Source organism: Homo sapiens, chromosome 11 (assembly GCF_000001405.40).
Source record: "Homo sapiens chromosome 11, GRCh38.p14 Primary Assembly".
NCBI classification, from domain to species: Eukaryota; Metazoa; Chordata; class Mammalia; order Primates; family Hominidae; genus Homo; species Homo sapiens.
This window is the reverse complement of record NC_000011.10, coordinates 77,478,024-77,500,800: the sequence shown is the minus strand read 5'-3', so window position 1 is coordinate 77,500,800 and position 22,777 is coordinate 77,478,024. Positions and strand designations below refer to the sequence as shown.

At 43.9% G+C, this 22,777-nt stretch overlaps 1 protein-coding gene across 3 annotated transcripts in view, besides 2 other annotated features; it reads left to right on the top strand.

The window, feature by feature from the left end:
• The window catches only part of PAK1 (p21 (RAC1) activated kinase 1), a 207,993-nt gene that overhangs the window by 29,209 nt on the left and 156,007 nt on the right, over positions 1 to 22,777 (top strand). For 2 of the 3 annotated variants that reach the window (XM_047427054.1, XM_047427049.1), the window contains exon 1: positions 7,189 to 7,259. The exons of the other annotated variant lie outside the window; for it this stretch is intronic. The gene's annotated coding sequence lies outside the window, so the exon portion shown is untranslated. Of the gene's footprint in view, positions 1 to 7,188; positions 7,260 to 22,777 lie in introns of those variants that run through there. 3 annotated transcript variants of the gene reach the window in all.
• Positions 20,397 to 20,901: an enhancer, noted in NCBI's record as "OCT4-NANOG-H3K27ac hESC enhancer chr11:77190945-77191449 (GRCh37/hg19 assembly coordinates)". NCBI's record gives its function as "activates a minimal SCP1, AML or CMV promoter by ChIP-STARR-seq in naive and primed H9 embryonic stem cells {active_cell/tissue: H9 hESC(naive and primed)}" and the evidence as "EXISTENCE:reporter gene assay evidence [ECO:0000049][PMID:30033119]".
• Positions 21,913 to 22,418: an enhancer, noted in NCBI's record as "H3K4me1 hESC enhancer chr11:77189428-77189933 (GRCh37/hg19 assembly coordinates)". NCBI's record gives its function as "activates a minimal SCP1, AML or CMV promoter by ChIP-STARR-seq in naive H9 embryonic stem cells {active_cell/tissue: H9 hESC(naive)}" and the evidence as "EXISTENCE:reporter gene assay evidence [ECO:0000049][PMID:30033119]".

Sequence of the window (22,777 nt, the reverse complement as noted above, 5' to 3'; positions counted from 1 at the left end):
GTGAACACAGCACATTGCTGCCTCAACCTCCCAAGCTCAAGCAATCCTCCTGCCTCAGCCTCCTGAATAGCTGGGACCACAGGCATGCATCATCACACCCAGCTAATTTTTTTGTGTGTGTGGAGACAAGTCTCAGTGTGTTGCCCAGGCTGATCCTGAACTCTGGGGCTCAAATGATCCTCCTGCCTCGGCTTCCCAAAGTGCTGAGATTACAGGTGTGAGCCACTGAACCCAGCCAGAACGGAAATCTTGAGGAGGGCTTTGGATTTCCACAAGACGTGGAATTGGAGGGAGGAATCCAGTTAATTATGTTTCGACTTTTTTTTCTTTTTTTGAGGTGGAGTCTCACTCTGTTGCCCAGGCTGGGGTGCAGTGGCACAATCTCGGCTCACTGCAACCTTCGCTGCCTGGGTTCCAGCAATTCTCCTGCCTCAGCCTCCTGAGTAGCTGGGACTGCAGGCATGCACCACCATGCCTGGCTAATTTTTGTATTTTTAGTAGAGACGGGATTTCACCATGTTAACCAGGCTGGTCTCGAACTCCTGACCTTGTGATCCGCCCACCTCGGCCTCCCAAAGTGCTGGGATTACAGGCGTGAGCCACCGCACCCGGTTTATATTTTGATCTTTAAGGGCAGGAGGGCTCTCAGTTGAATCTGAGTTATGTATATTCATCTTTGCTATACAAATTCTGTGTTTGTGAATTTTCATTTTTATGAACTGATTATAACAAAATTTTCCAAGGGAGCAAACTTCTTCCACTCACTTATGGTCAGGGCTTGCTTATCTCAGATGCGTGTGTTCAGAGGTCTTCCAGCCACTTTCAGAGCCAGGTGTAGAAGCAGAGATGGAAGTGTTCGCTGATGCTGGATGGTGGATTTATCAGGTGAGTGCTAGAGAAGGTCAAAAGGGTGAGACATTTAGCCAGGCTGTATCCATTCTGTTCTGTAGAAGCCAAAATGCCGGAAAGTCTACTGCTCTGTGTGTGTATGTGTGTGTGTGTGTGCAGTGTCAGCACAAACCAACTCAGTGCTTAGGGAGCAATATGGATCCAGGGCCCACATCAACTCTAAATTAACATTCCCTGACTGTTGGGACAGACAGGCATGTAAACAACTAATTAAGACAAAAAGTGTAATAAAGGTATAACGAAAGTATCACTGGAATACTTAAGAGGCAGTACCTACTTCCTCTAAAGTTGAGAAGGGCAGAGTGGGCATGAAAGACTTCCCAGAGGTGGGATCATGGGTTGGATCTAGAAGGATGAGTAGGAACTATACAGTGAAGGATAAAAAGGAGGAAATGCATTCCAGGATGAGGGAACAGCTTGAGTGAAGACATCTCTAAAACTGTATGAATAGTAGGAACATTTGTCTGAAAAATATATTTATTTACATGTATACATGTGGAAGAGACTATGCACCAAAATGTTAGCAATAAGCCAGGTGTGGTGGCATGCACCTGTAGTCCCAGGTATTCAGGAGGCCAAACTGCGAGGATTGCTTGAGCCCAGGAGTTCAAGACCAGACTGGGTAACATAATGAGACCCCATCTCAACACAAAGAAAAAAAATGTTAACAATAGATATTCCTGGTAGGATTATAAGTGAATTTTTGAAATTTTATTTTCCTCCCTTTAAAAATTATCCTTCTCTTTTTTTTTTTTTAGTAGTGAGTGGGTATCACTCATTAATATGAAAAGTTAAAGACCTTCTGCCAAGTTTGGTAAATTTAATAGAAGGCTTTATATTAGACTTCTATGTATAAAAAAAATTTCTTGCAGTTTGAAGAGGGAATAAAATTTGGCAGGGCGTGGTGGCTCATGCCTGTAATCCCAGCACTTTGGGAGGCCAAGGCGGGTGGATCACAAGGTCAGGAGTTCGAGACCACCCTGTCCAACATGGTGAAACCCAGTCTCCACTAAAAATACAAAAATTAGCTTGGCATGGTGGCGTGTGCCTGTAGTTCCAGCTACTTAGGAGGCTGAGGCAGGAGAAATGCTTGAACATGGGAGGCGGAGGTTGCAGTGAGCTGAGATCTTGCCATTGCATTCCAGCCTAGTGACAGAGCAAGACTCTGTCTCAAAAAAAAAAAAAAAAAAAAAAAAAAAATTACAAGCAAGGGTGTTAAAAATACAATTATTTCTTCGGGCATTCATTTAACAAATATGTACCATGTATTCTTTTGAGGTTGCTCAGATGATACAGGCAGGGAGAGCCCTTCAAAGGCAGGCCATATAGATAAAAAATGAATGTAAGACAAGGCAGAGAGGCCAAGGACTGTGAGAGGTGGGCCGTGGCACCATGTGTGTGTGTGTGTGTCGGAGAAAGAGCAATAATGAGCTTTTATAAATCACTGCAATGATTCCTGTCAGCATTATCCAAAAAGACAGCAGACATCACACTGGAAGTGTGAATTCTGACCCATGAGTGGGTCATGATATCAGTTTAAATGGTCAAGACTGGAAATTTTTGTTTTGTTTTTAAATAAACTTTTCCTTTTGGAATAATTTTAGATTTACCAAAAGCATAGAACGATAGTTCAGAAAGTTTCCACATGTTTTTCACCCAGCTCCCCCTAATGTTAACATATTACATAACCATGGTACATTTGTTAAAGTAAGAAATTAACATTAATGTAATATTATTAACTAAACTATAGATTTTATTTGGGTTTCACCTGTTTTTCCACTAGTGTCCTTTTTCTGTTCTACGTTTCCAGAATACCACATTACATTTAGAAGATTAGAATTTTTTAAAAAATGAAATAATATAAAATAGAATAGAAAATACTTGCACAGACTAAGGTTAAGTATTATTTTATGAAAAGTTGTTTCTACTACATATGTAGGATGTATTTTTTACTGAAGGTAGCAGTTTTTTAAAAAAGAAACAGTCTTAGAAGACACCTAAAAATTAAATATTCTTGCCATTGTGAAGATTAATATTCTAGTGAAAAACAAAAAACACTTGCATACAGCATTGTGAGCACTATATCTCAAAGTCAGAAAATGCAAAGGAAACTAAGACAGTAGGAATCAGAGGACACAGCAAGAGAGAGATCCTTTTGTTCCTTCCATAGTGATGTACTGAACAGCTTTGCCCTTTGGAATAGAACTGACTCCCTACATGCTGCTGAGTTGGATGGAATTCTTGGCTCAAGCAGCTGAACAGAATTCATCACTTGATAGAAATACACCACACACACGATCTCAGAGCCCAGCAATGCTGTCCCCATGTCCCTCTCCTAAGCCAGGCTGTGCCCCTTGTAAATGAATTAATGGCTGTGAAAGCAGTTGGTAAAAGGCAGTTGGTATGTGCACTTTGAGTGAGTCACTTTCCTTCTAAGTGAGTCACTTTCCTTCTGGGTCTCAGTTTCCTCATCTGTAAAATGGGGCTTCCCCATATGGCTTTTGGGAGAATCAAGTGAGAAGAAGAAAGTGTTTTATAAATTGTTAGGGGCTATACAGATGAATGTAAAAATTATTATTTCAGATGTGAATTGTCATTGGTCAACCTTTTGAGGGCAATAATTATATTTTATTCATCTCCATACCTCTAGTGCCTACCACCATAGCCATCCCACAGACTCATCTCCATGGGGAGATAAGGACCTGGGCACACCTTCCCCTTCCTGGACTTGGAGATGTTCGCCCAGTTCCTGAAGGCTTCCCACACCCTGTCCTGCTCCTCTATACAGTGGGACAGATTCAGGCTAGATAAGCTCCATTGACCTTGCAGATTCAGGAGTGAGTATGGACCTTCACCAGAGCCCTGCCTAGTGAAGAGTCTCCTCAGTTCAAAGGAGGCTACTGAGACTGGTTCTGGGTTCAAATCACCCATTTCAGTTTTTTTATTTTTATTTTTATTTTTTTTGGAGACATAGTCTGTTGCCCAGGCTGGAGTGCAATGGCATGATCTAGGTTCACTGCAAACTCCACCTCCCAGGTTCAAACAATTCTCCTACCTCAGCCTCCTGAGTAGCTGTGATTATGTGCACTCACCATCACGCCAGGCTAATTTTTGTATTTTCAGTAGAGACAGCGTTTTGCCATATTGGCCAGGCTGGTCTCAAACTCCTGACCTCAAGTGATCTGCCTGGCTTGACCTCCCACAGTGCTGGGATTATAGGCATGAGCCACTGAGCTCAGCCTGAGTTTTTATTTTTATTTCTTTTTCTTTTCTTTCTTTTTTCAGGTTCTTGCTCTGTTATCCAGGCTGGAGAGCAGTGGCTCACTGCAACCTCTACCTCCCAGGCTCAAACAATCCTCCCACCTCAGCCTCTTGGGTAGCTGGGACTACAAGCGTGCACCACCACGCTGGCAAATTTTTTTGTATTTTTTGTAGAGCCAGGGTTTCACTGTGTTGACCAGGCTGGTCTTGAACTCCTGGGCTCAAGTGATCTGCTTACCTCGCCTCCCAAAGTGATGGGATTATAAGATCGAGCCACCTTGCCCAGCCTATTTTTATTTCTAGTTAAAAAATACAGGCCAGGTGTGGTGGCTCATGCCTGTAATCCAGCACTTTGGGAGGCTGAGGCGGGTGGATCATGAAGTCAAGAGATCGAGACCATCCTGGCCAACAGAGTGAAACCCCGTCTCTACTAAAAATACAAAAATTAGCCAGGCATGGTGGTGGGCGCCTGTAGTCCCAGCTACTCGGGAGGCTGAGGCAGAAGAATTACTTGAACCTGGGAAGCGGAGGTTGCAGTGAGCCGAGATGGTGCCACTGCACTCCAGCCTGGCGACAGAGTGAGACTCCTTCTCAAAAAAAAAAAAAAAAAAGTGTACAGTTCAGTGGTATTAAGTACATGCACATTGTTGTGCAACTACCACTACCATCCATCTTCAGAATACTTTCCACCTTGCAAAATGTAACTCTATGCTCATTAAACAATAACCTCCTTTCTCTCCCCTGCAGCCCATCCCCTGGCAACCACCGTTGTACTTTCTGTCTCTATGAATTTGACTGCTCTAGGTATCTCATATAAGTAGAATCATAGAGTTTGTATTTCTTGACTGTCTTATTTCACTTAGCATAATATTGCCAAGGTTCATTCATGTTGTAGCATGTGCAAGAAGTTCTTTCCTTTTCAAGGCTGAATAATATTCCATTGTATGTATATACCACATTTTGCTTATTCATCCATCCTTTCATGGATACTTGGGTTGTTTCCACCTTTTGGCAATTGTGAATAATGCTGCTATAAACATAGGTATACAAATACCTCTTTGAGACCCTGGTTTCAATTCTTTTGGGTATATATCCAGAAGTGGACTGGCTGGATAATATGGTAATCCTATTTTTATTTTACTTTACTTTATTTTTTTGAGATGGAATCTTGTTTTGTTGCCCAGGCTGGAGTGCAGTTGTGCGATCTTGGCTCACTACAACCTCTACCTCCCAGGTTCAAGTGAGTCTCCTGCCTCAGCCTCTTGAGTAGCTGGGATTACAGTCATGCACCACCGCGCCTGGCTAATTTTTGTATTTTTAGTGGAGATGGGGTTTCACCATGTTGGCCAGGCTGGTCTCGAACTCCTGACTTCAAATGATTTGCCCGTTTTGGTCTCCCAAAGTGCTGGGATTACAGGTGTGAGCCACTGCACCTGGCCTCTAATTTAAAAAAAAATTTTTTTTTTTTTGAGACAGAGTCTCACTCTGTCACCCAGGCTGGAGTGCAATGGCGTGGTCTTGGATCTCTGCAAACTCCACCTCCCAGGTTCAAGTGATTCTCCTGCCTCAGCCTCCCAAGTAGCTGGGACTACAGGCGCATGTCACCACAACCGGCTAATTTTTGTATTTATAGTAGAGACAAGGTTTCACTGTGTTGGCCAGGTTGGTCTCGAACCCCTGACCTTGTGATCCTCCCATATTGGCCTCCCAAAATGCTGGGATTACAGATGTGAGCCACCGCGCCCAGCCTAATTTTTAATTTTTTAATTTTGTATATAGATGGGGGTCTCACTATATTGATTAGGCTGGTCTCAAACTCCTGGGCTCAAGAGATCCTCCTGCATCAGCTTCCCAAAGTGCTAGAATTACAGGTGTGAGTCATCATGCCTGGCCCTATTTTTAAATCTGTAAAGAAAACATTTTCTATAGTTTTCCATGGTGTCTGTATCATTTTCCATTCCCACCAACAGTGGACAAGGATTCCAGTTTCTCCACATCTTCACTAATGCTTGTTCTTTTCTGCCTTTTTTTTTTTTTTTTAATAGTAGCTATCCTAACAGGTGTGCTGACATCTTTGTATGTTCCTTTTAGAAACAAAAAATGGGCCAGGTGCAGTGGCATGTACCTGTAGTCCCAGCTACTTAGGAGGCTGAGGTGGGAGGATTGCTTGAGCCCAGGAGTTCGATACCAGCCTGGGCAACAAGACTCTTTGTCTAAAGAAAAATGTTTAAATGGGATCATGTTATACAAATTACCTGCAGCTTGTTTTTGTTTTACATTTAGCAGCATATCAAGGACATCTTTTCACACTAGTACATAGAGATCCACACATTTCCCTTTAATGCCTGCATAGTATTCAGTTGTATGGGTGTATCATTTATTTATTTACTTATTCACCTATCAGCAGATATTCAGGTTGTTTCCAGATTTATGAGGTTACAGTGCTGCAGTAAGCATTTTTGAACTTCATGTATTTGTGCTATTTTTTTTCTTTGTAGGATAGACTCCTATAAGTGGTTTTGCTGGGTCATAGGGTATGCATGTTTTTAAAAATATTATTAATTGCTGTCAAAGTACCTTCCGATAAATTTATGTCAGTTTGCACTTCCACCAAAATTGTATGAGAGTGTTCATTTCCTTACAATCTCATCAGCATTGGCATTATCAATCTTTTGAGTGTTTGTTGAGTGAATATTCTTAAACACATCAAACCAAATATGACAGAAATAATGGACTGGCTTACTCAACATCCAGTCAGTTTATACTTTCTACAGTGAATTCTGTGAACTTGTTTTCTACTATACCTAATCGTGAGACATGCTCAAATCATTACCTTTTCTGAGGCTCAGCTTCCTTACTTGTGAAAAGGAGAGAGTAATACCTATTTTATAGGGGTGTTGTGGAGGTTAAATGGAATGATACATTCAAAACGACTGACGCACTCTCGGTTCAGTAAGGTTTGTGGGTGGTGAGTCCTTTTTCTCTTCCTTCTTTTCAGGATAACTCATCCTATAAGACCCAGCTCAAGACTGAGTGCAGGCCAGGCATGGTGGCTGACGTCTGTAATCCCAACAGTTTGGGAGGCAGAGGTAGGTGGACTGCCTGAGGTCTGGAGTTCAAGACCAGCCTGGCCAACATGGCGAAACCGTCTCTACTAAAAAAAAAAAAAAAAAAAAAAAAAAAAATTAGCTGGGCATGGTGGTGCATGCCTGTGATCCCAGCTACTCGGGAGGCTGAGGTACGAGAATCGCTTAAACCTGGGAGGTGGAGGTTGTAGTGAGCCAAGATCACGCCACTGCAGCTGCACTCCAACCTGGGCAACACAGAGAGACCCTGTCTCAAAAAAAAAAAAAAACAACAAAAAAATGACTGAGTGCAATGGCTCACACTTGTAATCCCAGCTACTTGGGAGGCCGAGGTGGGAGGATCATTTGAGGCCAGGAGTTTAAGACCAACCTGGGCAACAGAGCGAGACACCATCTCTACACAATTTTTAAAAAATTAGCCAGGCATGCTGGTATATACCTGTAGTCCCAGCTATTCAGGAGGCTGAGGCAGGAGTGTATTAGTCCATTCTCGCATTGCTATAAAGAAATACCTGAGACTGGGTAATTTATAAAGAAAAGAGGTTTAATGGGCACGCAGTTCTGCAGGCTGTACAGGAAGCATGGTGCTGAAATCTGGTCGGCTTTTTGGGAGGCTTCAGGAAACCTACAATCATGGTGGAAGGTGAAGGGGAAGCAGGAATGTCTTACATGGCCAGAGCAGGATCAAAAGCAGGGGTAGGTGCTATACACTTTTAAACAATCAGATCTTGTGATCAGATCACTATACAGTACCAAGGGAGGATGGTTCTAAGCCATTTATGAGAACTCTGCCCCCAAGATCCAAATACCTCCCACCAGGCCCCTCCTCCAACACTGGGAATTACAATTGAACATGAGATTTGGGCAGAGACACATATTCAAACCATAACAAGGAGGATACCTTAAGCCCAGGAGTTTGAGGTTATAGTGAGCTATGATTGTGCCACCGCAACCTGGGCGACAGAATGAGACCTTGTCTTTAAAAAAAAAAAAAAAAAAAAAAGACCCACCTCAGCTCAAATGCCATCTTTTAATCTCCTAATACCCTGGGCAGAGACATAATTATTGCTCTCTTCTCTGGGTTCCTATTGCATTTAATTAATTCCTTTTATGGGTCATAACATATTGTACTGTGATTTATGCATATGTGTTTGTCTCCTCAACTGGCTTTTGAGTTTTTTTTTTTGTTGTTGTTTTTGTTTTTTTTGTGAGATGGAGTCTCGCTCTTGTTGCCCAGGCTGGTGTGCAGTGGCGTGATCTCAGCTCACTGCAACCTCTGCCTCCCGGGTTCAGGCGATTCTCCTGCCTCAGCCTCCCGAGTAGCTGGGATTACAGGCACCTGCCACCGTGCCCGGCTAGCTTTTGAGCTCTTTGAGAGGAGGGAATGTTCGTGATCCATCTCTGTATCTGCAGAACCCAGTATAAGACTGACACAGGGTAGGGGATGAGTGAAATATGTTGATTGACTGAATTCACCCTAGCACAGTCTCACTGGACTCTTCAGTTTCCCACTCCTTGTTGCAACACTCAACTTTTAATTTCCATGTGCTTTTTACAGCCCTTTGTTGTCAGTGTATGTGTGTCTTTATAGATGAAGTGTGTTTCTTGTAGACAACAGATGATTGGTCTTGTTTTTGATCCATTCAGCCACTCTTATGTCTTTGACTGGAGCGTTTAGTCCATTTACATTCAGTGTTATTATTGATAAGTAAAGACTTACTCCTGTCTTTTTTAAATTTGTTTTCTGGTTGTTTTGTGGTCTTCTCTTTCCTCTTTCCTTCTTTCCTGTCTTTGTTTTAGTGAAGGTGATTTTCTCTGGTGGTATGTTTTAATATCTTGCTTTTTATTTTTTGTGTATCTGTTGTATTTGATTTGAGGTTATCATGAGGCTTGCATATATTTTATAACCCATTTTTTAAACTGATGACAACTTAACACTGATTGCATAAACTAACAAGCAAAGAGAAAACTAATAAAAACTCTACACTTTATTTTTTTTCTTTTCTATTTTTTTTTGAGGCAGAGTCTCACTCTATCACTCAGGCTGGTGTGCAGTGACACGATCATGGCTCACTGCAGCCTTGACCTCCCAGGCTTAAGCAATCCTCCTACCTCAGCCTCCCAAATTGCTGGGATTACAGGTGTGTGCCACCATTTCCATCTAACTTCTACACTTTAGCTTCATCCCCCTGCTTTTAACTTTTTGTTGTTTCTATTTATATCTTATCGTACTATGTTGTAGTTATTATTTTTGACAGATTCATCTTTTAGTCTTTCTACATGACTACAGTGTTATAATAGTCTGTGTACTTACTGTTACCATTGAGTTTTGTACCTTCTAATGATTTCTTTTTTTTTTTTTAAACATAGGATATCTTTTTATTTATGTCTCTTTAATTTTTTTTTTCTTTTTTTTTTTATTGATCATTCTTGGGTGTTTCTCACAGAGGGGGATTTGGCAGGGTCATAGGACAATAGTGGAGGGAAGGTCAGCAGATAAACAAGTGAACAAAGGTCTCTGGTTTTCCTAGGCAGAGGACCCTTCGGCCTTCCGCAGTGTTTGTGTCCCTGGGTACTTGAGATTAGGGAGTGGTGATGACTCTCAACAAGCACGCTGCCTTCAAGCATCTGTTTAACAAAGCACATCTTGCACCACCCTTAATCCATTTAACCCTGAGTGGACACAGCACATGTTTCAGAGGGCACAGGGTTGGGGGTAAGGTCACAGATCAACAGGATCCCAAGGCCGAAGAATTTTTCTTAGTACAGAACAAAATGAAAAGTTTCCCATGTCTACTTCTTTCTACACAGACACGGCAACCATCCGATTTCTCAATCTTTTCCCCACCTTTCCCCACTTTCTATTCCACAAAACCGCCATTGTCATCCTGGCCCGTTCTCAATGAGCTGTTGGGCACACCTCCCAGACGGGGTGGCGGCCGGGCAGAGGGGCTCCTCACTTCCCAGTAGGGGCGGCCGGGCAGAGACGCCCCTCACCTCCCAGACGGGGCGGCTGGCCGGGCGTGGGGCTGACCCCCCACCTCCCTCCCGGACGGGGCGGCTGGCCGGGCGGGGGGCTGACCCCCCCACCTCCCTCCCAGACGGGGCGGCTGGCCGGGCAGAGGGGCTCCTCACTTCCCAGTAGGGGCGGCCAGGCAGAGGCACCCCTCACCTCCCGGACGGGGCGGCTGGCCGGGTGGGGGGCTGACCCCCCCACCTCCCTCCCGGACGGGGCGGCTGGCCGGGTGGGGGGGCTGACCCCCACCTCCCTCTGAGACGGGGCGGCTGGCCGGGCGGAGACGCTCCTCACTTCCCAGACAGTGTGGTTGCTGGGCGGAGGGGCTCCTCATTTCTCAGATGGGGCGGTTGCCAGGCGGAGGGTCTCCTCACTTCTCAGACGGGGCGGCCAGGCAGAGATGCTCCTCACTTCCTAGATGGGGTCGCGGCCGGGCAGAGGCGCTCCCCACATCTCAGACGATGGGCGGCCGGGCAGAGACGCTCCTCACTTCCTAGATGGGATGGCGGCCGGGAAGAGGCGTTCCTCACTTCCTAGATGGGATGGCGGCCGGGCAGAGACGCTCCTCACTTTCCAGAGTGGGCAGCTGGGCAGAGGGGCTCCTCACATCCCAGACGATAGGCGGCCAGGCAGAGACGCTTCTCACTTCCCAGACGGGGTGGTGGCCGGGCAGAGGCTGCAATCTCGGCACTTTGGGAGGCCAAGGCAGGCTGCTGGGAGGTGGAGGTTGTAGCGAGCCGAGATCACGCCACTGCACTCCAGCCTGGGCACCATTGAGCACTGAGTGAACGAGACTTCGTCTGCAATCCCGGCACCTCGGGAGGCCGAGGCTGGCGGATCACTCGCGGTTAGGAGCTGGAGACCAGCCCGGCCAACACAGTGAAACCCCGTCTCCACCAAAAAAATACGAAAACCAGTCAGGCGTGGCGGCGCGCGCCTGCAATCGCAGGCACTCCGCAGGCCGAGGCAGGAGAATCAGGCAGGGAGGTTGCAGTGAGCCGAGATGGCAGCAGTACAGTCCAGCTTCGGCTTGGCATCAGAGGGAGACCGTGGAAAGAGAGGGAGAGGGAGACCGTGGGGAGAGGGGAGAGGGGAGAGGGGAGAGAGAGAGGAGAGAGGAGAGAGGAGAGAGGAGAGAGGAGGGAGGGGAGATAGGAGAGAGCTTCTAATGATTTCTTATAGCCCATTAACATCCTTTTCTTTCAAATTGAAGAACTATCTTTAGCATTTCTTACAAGACAAGTCTGGTGTTGATGAAATCCCTCAGCTTTTGTTTGTCTGGCTATTTTGAATAAGGCTGCTTCATTATTTGAAGGATATTTTCACTGCATATACTATTCTAGGATAAATAGAATAGTATAGTCCTTCAGCACTATAAATTTGTCATGCCACTCTCTCCTGGCTTGTAAGATTTCCACTGAAAAGCCTGCTGTCAGGTATATTAGAGCTCCACTGTATGTTATTTGTTTCTTTCCCCTTGCTGCTTTTCGGGTCCTTTCTTTATCCTTGACCTTTGGGAGTTGGTTATTAAATGTCTCAAGGTAGTTTTATTTGGGCTAAATCTACCTGGTGTTCTATAACCTTCTTGTACTTGAATATTGATATCTTTTTCTAGGTTTGGAAAGTTCTCTATTATTTTCCCTTTGAATGAACTTTTTACCCAGATCTCTCTCTCGACCTCCTTTTTATGGCCAATAAGTCTTAGGTTTGACCTTTTGAGGCTCTTTTCTAGATTTTTTAATCATACTTCCTTTTTTAAAAAATTCTTTTTTCTTTTGTCTCCTTTGACTATTTTCAAATAGCCTGTCTTCAAGCTCATGAATTCTTTCTTCTGCTTGATCAATTCTGTGTTAAGAGACTCCCACATTCGTCAGTATATTAATTGTATTTTTCACCTCCAGAATTTCTGCTTGACACTTTTAAGTTATTTCAATCTCTTTGCTAAATTTATTGGATCGGATTCTGAATTCCTTCTCTGTATTATCTTGAATTTTGCTGAGTTTCCTCAAAACAGCTATTTTGAATTCTTCTTCTGAAAGGTCACATATCTCTATTACTCTGGGATTGGTCACTGGTGCCTGATTTAGTTCATTTGGTGATCTCATGTTTTCATAGATGGTCTTGATGCTTGTGGATGTCCATTGGTGTCTGGGCATTGAAGAATTAAGCATTTATTGTGGTCTTCACAGTTTGGGCTTGTTTGCACCTGTACTGGAAAGGCTTTCCAGGTATTTGAAGGGACTCGGGTGTTGTGATCCAAGTTTTTTTTTAAATCACTACAGCCATATTTGCCTTAGGGGCAACCCCAAGCCCAGTAACACTATGGCTCTTACAGACTCATAGAGGTAGTGCCTTGGTGGTCTTCGATAAGATGCAGAAGCATTATCCAGATTACCAAGTAGAGACTCTTGCTCCCTTCCTTTACTTTCTCCCAAACACATAAAGTCTCTCTCTGTATGCTGAGCCACCTGGAGCTGGAAGAGGAGTGATACAAGCACCTCTGTGACTACTACCATTGGGACTGCACTGAGTCAGACCTAAAGCCAGTACATAACTGGGTCTTGCCCAAGAGCCACAGTAACTACTGCCTGGTACTTCCTATGTTCACTCAAGGCCCTAGGGCTCTACAATAGAAGCCAGCCAGGCTTGTGTCCTTCTCTTCAGGGCAGTGAGTTCCCCTGACTCCAGGTGGGTTCAGAGATGCCGTCCAGGAGCCAGGCCTAGAGTCAGAAACCTTAGGGATCTACCTGGTGCTCTATTCTACTGTGACTGAGCTGGTACCCAAGACACAAGATAAAGTTCTTCATACTCTTCCCTCCCTTTGCAGAAGAATCTCTCCCTGTGGCCACCATGCCCCAGGCCCACAGCAAGTACTGCCTGGCTACCACCAATGTTCACTCAAGACCCAAGGCTCTTCAGTCAACTTGTGGTGAATGCTGCTGGGCCTGGGACTCTCCCTTTAGGGCCCTGGTCCCAGGGAAGGTCCAGATATGCCATCCACAAGCCAAGGCCTGGAATCAGGAACCCCAAGAGCCTGCTTGGTGCTCTACCCTACTGTGGCTGAGCTGGTACCTAACTGCAAGACAAAGTCCTCTCTACTTTTTTCTCAAGCAGAAGGAGTCCCTCCCTGTGGCTACCATAGCTGGGAATGTGCTGGGTTTACACCTGAAGCCAGCACATCTCTGAATCTCTCACCCAGGGCCCATGGTGAGTACCACCTGGCTATCCCTGCTGTTTATTCAGGACCCAAGGACTGTATAGTCAGCAGATGATGACAAATTCTGCTATTAGTGGGTTCTTTTCCTCAAGGCAGCATGTTCCCTTCTGGCCCAGAGTGTGTATAGAAATGTCATCCAGGAGCTAGGGCCTCGAATGGGGTCCTCAGGATTCTACCTGTTGCCCTATCCTACTGTGGCTGAGCAAGTATCTAAGTTGCAAGACAAAGTCCTCTTTACTTTTCCCTCTCCTCTCCTCAGGTGGAAGGAAGGAGTCTCTCCTGGAGCCATGAGCTGTGCTGCCTGGTGCTGTGGGAGAGGTGGTGCAAGCATTTCCTTGGTTACCCTGGCCAGTGTCTCACTAGGTCACATAACCCCTAAGTCCACTGGCTCTGATCCTGGAACAGCACCCGGACTTGCCGAGGAATTGCAGTCCTGTGGCTTAGACTGCCTCTCAAGTTTACTTAGAACCCCAGAGCATTTTAGCCCACAATGATGAGGCTTGCTGGAACTCAGGTCTCAGCTACTGGGATAGACAATTCCCCACCCAGATAGGGCTGGTCTAAATGCTCTTCCATGCTTCCATGGGTTCTGGCTGAGTTTTGGATGGTGTTGCTTCCCACTGTGACAGGGTGGCAGTGAGTTCCAATGCAAAGTGTGCCACAATCACTGTGCTTTCCCTCCCCCAAACACATAGATTCTCTCTCCATGCCATGTGGCCACTGCCAGGGGATGGAAGAGGGGTGGTGTCTGCAATTCAAGATGGTTTTTTCTACCCTTTTATGTGCTCTTTAAGTAATATGAAGTTAAAACCAGGTACTATGATTACTCACCTGATTTTTGGTTGTTATGAAGGTGATTTTTTTGTGTGAATAGTTGTTCAATTTGGTGTTCCTGTGGGGAGGACAATTAGTAGAGGCTTTTATTCAGCCATCTTGCCCCACCTCCTCCTCTGCAATTGTCAACTTTTTTTTTTGAGATGGGATCTTGCTATGTTGCCCAGGCTGGTCTTGAACTCCTAGGCTGCTCAAGGAATCTTCCCATCTCAGCCTCCCAAAGTGCTAGGATTACAGGCATGAGCCACATGGCCGGCCTGCAATAGTCAACTTTTAATACCCCCACCGATATCTTAGACTAGGATCACTTGGCTGCAAGGAACAGGAACCTTTTTAAACCAGCTCAAGAAAAAGGGGTGTGTATCAGTCAAGCTTCAAGTGCAGAAAACAGAAATCACTCTAGCTATGGTAAATGGAAGAGGATTTAAAAGGAAATGAGATGTTTATGAAGTTGTTGCAAAGTTAGGAGGAGTGAGCTGTAAGCTAGACCTCCAGGAATAATCCCCAGAATAATACTGCAAAACTGGCTGGCCACTGGAGCTGCCATCTCTTTTACCGTAAGAGAGGTGGAGAATCAAAAAACCATCGACGGAACTACCGATGTTCGAGAACACACTATTATAGTTGCAACCGAAGAATCAGAATGCTGCTGCTGCTCTAGATAACTCCTTTTTAAAATTTTAATTTTACATTAAGAAGTTTAGGCCAGGCATGGTGGCTCACGCCTGTAATCCCAGCACTTTGGGAGACCAAGGTGGGTGGGTCACCTGAGGTCAGGAGTTCAAGATCAGCCTGACCAACATGGTGAAACCCCATCTCTACTAAAAATACAAAATTCACCAGGTGAGGTGGCAGACGCCTGTAATCTCAGCTACTCGGGAGGCTGAGGCAGGAGAATTGCTTGAACCCAGGAGGCAGAGGTTGCAGTGAGCTGAGATTGCGCCATTGCACTCCAGCCTGGGCAACAAGTGTGAAACTTTGTCTCAAAAAAAAAATTTTTTTTTATTTTAAAATTTTTGTGGGTATATAGTAGGTATATACATTTATGAGGTATATGGAATATTTTGATACAGACAAACCATGTGTGATAATCACACCAGTGTAAATGAGGTATCCATCACCTTAAGCATTCGTCCTTTATGTTACAAATAATCCAATTATACTCTTTTAGTTATTTAAAATGTACAATTAAATTATTATTGGCTATAGTCACCCTGTTGTGGTATCAAATACTAGAGCTTATTCATTTCAACTATTTTTTTGTACTCTCTAACCACTATTCCCCTCACCCCCACCTCTACCCCGCTACTCTTTCCGGCTTTTGGTAACTGATATGGTTTTGCTGTGTAACATCCAAATCTCATCTTGAATTCCCAAGTGATGTGGGAAGGACCCAGTGGGAGGTAATTGAATTATGGGGGCAGGTCTTTCCCATGCTGTTCTTGTGATAGGGAATAAGTCTCACAAGATCTGACAGTATTATAACGGGGAGTTTTCCTGTACAAGCTCTCTCTTTTTTTGCCTGCTACCATCCAAGTAAGATGTGACTTGTTCCTCCTTGCCTTCTGCCGTGATTGTGAGGCCTCCCTAGCCATGTGGAACTATAAATCCAGTAAACCTTTCTTTTGTAAATTACCCAGTCTCAGGTATGTCTTTATCAGCAGCGTGAAAACAGACTAATACAGTAACCATCATTCTATTTTCTAGCTCCATGAGTCCAATTGTTTTAATGTTTAGCTCCCACAAACAAGTGAGAGCATGTGAAGTTAGACAACTCCTCTTGACACCCACAAAGTTAGTGACTGGTCACTGAGGCACTGCTGCAGGAAAACCCAGTCTCCATAACTTTTCTTCCTGGCAGCAATAGGCAAAGCAGCAGGAAGACAATCTCTGCCCAACTTCTGCTTTCCCAACCACCCATGAGTGCTTCTAATTGGTGGAACCTAATTTGGATATAAAATCTTAATTCTAAGAAAGTCTAAAAAAATGTTATTTCTATCTTTCCAGTCTCTGTAGTAGAGGGTACACTAAAACGAGCTTAGAATACAGGTTGAGCACTAATATACCACATCCACCCGAGGGGGTATATTGCTTAATGAACAATCTAACCACCAGGACCAAAAGTTCAGTCAAGCCTCCTGGGGACTGACATGGAGCAGCTGATTGTTGAAGCCACTCTGGTTTTCTCTTGTGGGCCCACCTTGTCTCTGATCTCTACTTATCTCTGTTCATCTTCTCAGCTTTCCTTTTTTTTTTTTTATGGATAACTTTTTTTTTTTTGGCTTACTCATGGTTTTTCTCTATACTAATGTTATAGGACTTATGGTTTTCTCTATACTAATGCTTACTAAATAAAGCCTTCAGTTTGCTATGGCACCCTACACTCCCATTCTACATTGCCTTTCTAATAAAGCACTTGGTACCATATGGCTGGCTCTATTTTTCATTTCCTAATTCCAAATTCCAGAGAAAGAGAGAATCTGATTGATCTAACCTGAATCAGATGCTCATCCCTGGTCCATTCAGCCAGAAGGATGGGACTTTGTGTAACGTAAAGCTCTGCCATTCTATAGGTATTGTCAAACTAAGTTCTTTAGAAAGAAATATGAAAATGGAGGCAAAAATAGACATGTCTACTTTACTAAATTTTCATCTCCACGAATTGCTGTAACCCCTTCAGTTCCATTCTTAGGATGTTATAGTTAGTTCTCATTACTCACACATTAGCACCTTCCATATGGCTAGCCATGCAATAGCATTTTTAAGCTTTATTGAGGTATAATTTACATACCAGAAAATTTGCCCAATTTAAGTGCACAGTGATTTTTAATAAATCTATGCAGTTGTGTGAAGATCACTGCAATGCAATTTTAGAACATTTCCAATACCCCACAAAGTTTCCTTGTACCTGTTTGTAGTCAATCACTGCTCTTACCCCCAAACAACAACTGATCTGTGCTCTGTCTTTATAGATTTTCCTTTTTAAAGAAATTTCATGTAAATGGAATCATTCAATATGTAGCAAAGTAGAGTTTTGATAAATGTCTGTTGATAGACTGGTGTGCTAAATTTTTAAAGAGCCCTATAATCCTCCTCACTTTCCTCATCCCATTTCCCAGCATGTCTATTCCTTTTCAGTGACTTGGTCTGAGTTTTATTTCTGTCCATGGATTACGAACATGCCGTTATCTGATGAGGTTGTTTCAACCAGCTGGTTATACTCTTTCCTACTTTCTCCACTCTTTCAGGCCACAGAGACTATTCTTTTTTTTTTTTTTTTGAGATGGAGTCTCACTCTTGTCACCAAGGCTGGAGTGCAATGGCACAATCTTGGCTCACTGCAACCTCCGCCTCTTAGGTTCAAGCGATTCTCCTGCCTCAGCCTCCTGAGTAGCTGGGATTACAGGTGCCCACCACCATGCCCAGCTAATTTTTGTATTTTTAGTAGAGACAAGGTTTCACCCTATTGGCCAGTCTGGTCTTGAACTCCTGACCTCAGGTGATCCACCTGCCTTGGCCTCCCAAAATGCTGGGATTACAGGTGATTACCTATCATTCAAGAGTGAGGGAAAAGCTGGGTGTGGTGGCTCATGCCTGTAATCTTAGCACTTTGGGAGTCTGAAGTCGGGAGGATCGCTTGTGCCTAGGAGTTCAAGACCAGCTGGGCAACAGAGGGAGATCCTGCCTTTACAAAAAGAAACACTCAAAAATTAGCTGAGCAGGGTGGCGAGTGCCTGTCATCCCAGCTACTCAGCAGGCTGAAGGCTGAGGTGGGAGGATTGCTTGAGCTCAGGAGGTCGAGGCTGCAGTGAGACGAGATCATGCCACTGCACTCCAGCCTGGGTGACAGAGTAAGACCCTGTCTCAAAAAAAAAAAAAAGAAAAAAAGAGTGAGGGAAAAATAAAATCATTTTTAGACATGCACAAAAACTAATTAAAAGGAATTCAAGAGGAATGATCAGTGAGTGTTAAAGTATATTGAAGGTTTCATCTTACTTTGGAGGAGGATGGAGACACTGATAATTTATGGAAGTTTATAGCTAAATTTATATATATCTTTTTTAAGGATAATCATTAAAAGAATAGAAAGACAATTTTTATCTTCTAAGGCATCAGTGGGGCAGAGGGAAGCCAAGAAAACGTTATCAATCCAACAGAATACAGAAAAGAACAATAAAGAAGCAAAATAGGCCGGGCGTGGTGGCTCACGCCAGTAATCCCAGCACTTTGGGAAGCTGAGGCTGGCGGATTACCTGAGGTCAGGAGTTCGAGACCAGCCTGACCAATATGATGAAACCCCATCTCTATTAAAAATACAAAAATTAACTGGGCGTGGTGGGGTGTGCCTGTAATCCCAGCTACTCAGGAGGCTGAGACAGGAGAATTGCTTGAACCCGGGAGGCGGAGCTTGCAGTGAGCCAAGATCGTGCCACTACACTCCAGCCTGGGCAACAGAGCGAGACTCCATCTCAAAAAAAAAGAAGCAAAACGGTAAAAAGAAAACATTCAAGATAATAGAAATGAACATAGCAATAATCACTATTAACAAGGAATAGATATTTATTTAGTACCTAATAAGTACAGCACTGTTCCAAGCTCTAGAGATATAGTAGCGAGTAAAACAAACTCCCCACACTCAAGAAGCTTACATTTTCCTGGAGAGACATGTTCTAATACAGGAAGACACAATATAGTGAAACAGATTAAGCTCACCTATACAAATCCAAAAACTATCATTGCATAAAAATAGAATCTAGCAATTGTGCTACTCAGAAAAGACGTAATTTTTTTTTTTTTTTTTTTTGAGATGGAGTCTCCCTCTGTCACCAGGCTGGAGTGCAGTGGCACAATCTCGGCTCACTGCAACCTCTGCCTCCCGGGTTCAAGCAATTCTCCTGCCTCAGCCTCCTGAGTACCTGGGACTACAGGCACATGCTACCACACCTGGCTAATTTTTGTATTTTTAGTAGAGATGGGGTTTCACCTTGTTGGCCAGGATGGTCTCGACCTATTGACCTCGTGATCCGCCCGCCTCGGCCTCCCAAAGTGCTGGGATTACAGGCATGAGCCACCGTGCCTGGCCTAAAGATACAATGTTAAAAGACACAAATCACCCAAATCACAGGCCTAACAACAGAGAATCACCACATAAATCAAAAAGGGAAAAATTGACAAATGCACAGTTATATATATTTGGAGATTTTTTATCACATTTTTACATTAAGTTGATGGATCATTAACTTAAGTTGGAACATTAAGTTAATAGACACTGGAACGATGTAGTTAATATACTTGATATAATAGAAATAGAATAGACACTGGAATGATGTAGTTAATATAATTGATATAATAGAAATAGAATGCTGCATCCAACAAATAGAGAATATGCATTCTTTTAAAATATGCACTAGAACATGTACAAGGGCAAAAGAAAGTCTCAAGAAAGTTTAAAAAGATGTTATACAAAGCATGTCTCCTGACCACGATGAAATTAAATTAGAAATAATATATTTATTAAGCATGTATTATACACCAGGTAATTTTCTAGAAGCTGGGCACACAGCAACAAACAAATGAGATGAAGTCCTACTGTCATGAAGCTTGCATTCTGAGGGCAAGAGGACAGATGATAAACAAATTTCAAAAAATATTTAGGCTGGGTGTGGTGGCTCACGCCTGTAATCCCAGCACTTTGGGAGGCTGAGGCAGGTGGATCACTTGAGGTCAGGAGCTCAAGACCTGTCTGGCCAACATGGTGAAACCCCGCCTCTACTAAAAGTGCAAAAATTAGTTGGGCATGGTGGCACACACCTGTAATCCCAGCTATTCGGGAGGCTGCGGCAGCAGAACCACTTGAACCTGGGAGGCGGAGGTTGCAGTGAGTTGAGATTGCGCCACTGCACTCCAGCCTGGGCAACAGAGCAAGACTATGTCTCAAAAAAAAAAAAAAAAAAAACCATGGTGGTTACTCAGACAATAGAATTATCTTTACAATAAAGGACTTCCAAAATGACAGATGAGAAAGTGTATATTAAACACCTTTAATAAATATTCTGTAAAATAATAAAATACAGAAAATTTAGATGGACACTTGTATCTCCTAATTTATGTATCTTGGTCAGCTTCTCCACAAGCTTACCTAATTGTTTATATACTTTATACTCATTAAAGTATACTTTTTTTAAAAAAAAAAGAAAAGCCTCTCTGATGAGGTAACATTTGAGCAGAAACCTGAAAGGAGTGAGGGAGCAAGATATGCAGCTATGTGGGGGAAGAAAATTCCATGCAGAGTGAATAGCAAGATCAAAAGCCCTGAGTTGGGAGGGTGCTTGCCATGTTCAAGAAACAGCAGTGAAAAGATAGTTAAAACAAAACAAAAGAAAGCATACATATGGAAACTTACAAAACACACTGAACCATTAAGGAACAGCTTTTGGCTGTAAGAGTCCTGAGAAACAACAGCTTTAAAAAACTTACTTCTCTTTCTCCTGATAGAAATTCTGGAGGCAGGTGGTTCCTGGCATTAGGTTGATGACTCAAAGTACTTAGTTCAAGATCTTTGTGATTTTGGGCCCAGCACTGTGGTTGATGCCTGTAATCCCAGCAGTTTGGGAGGCTGAGGTGGGTGGATCATTTGAGGTAAGGAGTTTGAGACCAGCCTGGCCAACATGGTGAAACCTCATCTCCACTAAAAATACAAAAATTAGCCGGGTGTGCTGGTGGGCGCCTGTAATCCCAGCTAATTGGGAGGCTGAGGCATGAGAATCGCTTGAGCCCAGGAGACGGAGTTTGCAGTGAGCCGATATCGTACCACTGCACTCCAGCCTGGGTGACAGAGTGAGACTCTGTCACCAAAAAAAAAAAAAAAAAAAAAAGTTTATTTTTCTTGGCCTTTTCTTCATGGTTTCTGAATAGCTGCTCCAGCTCCAGCCTTCGTGTGTACACTCAAGGCAGCAGGAAACAGGAAGAATTAGGAAATATAAAATGTCTCCAGAGCTCTTCCTTTCCTCTTCTTCTCCCCCTTCTCTCCTTTGGCCCCCTATAAGTTTTCTATGTCTCAGCAACAAATTACCACAAACTTAGTGGCTTACAACAACACATATTCATTATCTGACAGTTTCTGTGGGTCAGGAGTCTGGAAATGGCTTAGATGGGTCTTTTGCTCAGGGTTTCATAGGCTGCAATCATGACATCGGAGGGCTGCATTCTCATCAGCGGTTTCCAAGCTCCCTCAGGTTGTTGGCAAAATTCATTTCCTTGAAGCCATAGAACTCGTGACGGTATGCTTCTTAAAGGCCAGAAAGAGAGCAAAAGTAGGTCTGAGTTTGGGAACAGTGGCATCTATTACAATGAGTGCTAATGCTTAGATCTTAACTTTTTTTTTTTTTTTTTTGAGACGGAGTCTTGCTCGGCCGCCTAGGCTGGAGTGCAGTGGCGCGGTCTCGGCTCACTGCAAGCTGTGCCTCTTGGGTTCATGCCATTCTCCTGCCTCAGCCTCCCAAGCAGCTGGGACTATAGGCGCCTGCCACCACGCCCAGCTAATTTTTTTTTTTTTTTGTATTTTTAGTGGAGACGGGGTTTCACCATGTTAGCCAGGATGGTCTCGATCTCCTGACCTCATGATCCGCCCACCTCGGCCTCCCAAAGTGTTGGGATTACAGGCATGAGCCACTGCGCCTGGCCTAGATCTTAACATTTAAATGTTGACTCTCACTCTGTCACCAGGCTGGAGTGCAGTGGCCTGATCTCAGCTCACTGCAACCTCTGCCTCCCGGGCTCAAGCAATTCTCCTGCCTCAGCCTCCCTAGCAGCTGGGACTACAGGCACATGCCACCACGCCCGGCTAATTTTTTTTTTTTGTATTTTAGTAGAGATTGGGGTTTCGCCATGTTGCCCAGGCTGGTCTTGAACTCCTGAGCTCAGGCAATCCACCCACCTTGGCCTCCCAAAGTGCTAGGATTACAGGCTTGGGCCACCGTGCCAGGCCAGATCTTCACATTTAAATACTATTCTTCATTGAAAAGAATCAGAGCTCTTTGGAGTAATGGCTCATTTGAGGGCTGGGTCAAAGAAAGTGTAAGAAGAGCTTAGAACATCTTGGACCAAAAAGCAAGGAAGAGCTCAAAGAACGATGATGAGGACGTGTCAAAAGGATCCTGAATGGTACAACCATTTTGGGAAACAGTTTGGCAATTTCTTATAAAGTGAAATACAACAAGTCCTTGAATAATGTTATTTTGTTACAATGTTGATGAGAAAAAAAAAAATAACTTCTTGGCCTGGGTCACCAGTGTAGTTTGGACTCTGTTTTCTCTGTGTACTCTAGCTTCCTCCCACATCCCAAAGATGTGCACATTAAGTTAACTGGCATGTTTCAATTGTCCTAGTCTGAGTGAGTGTTGGTGTGCATGTGAGTGCACCCTGGAATAGCTTACGTAGCATCCTATACATGGT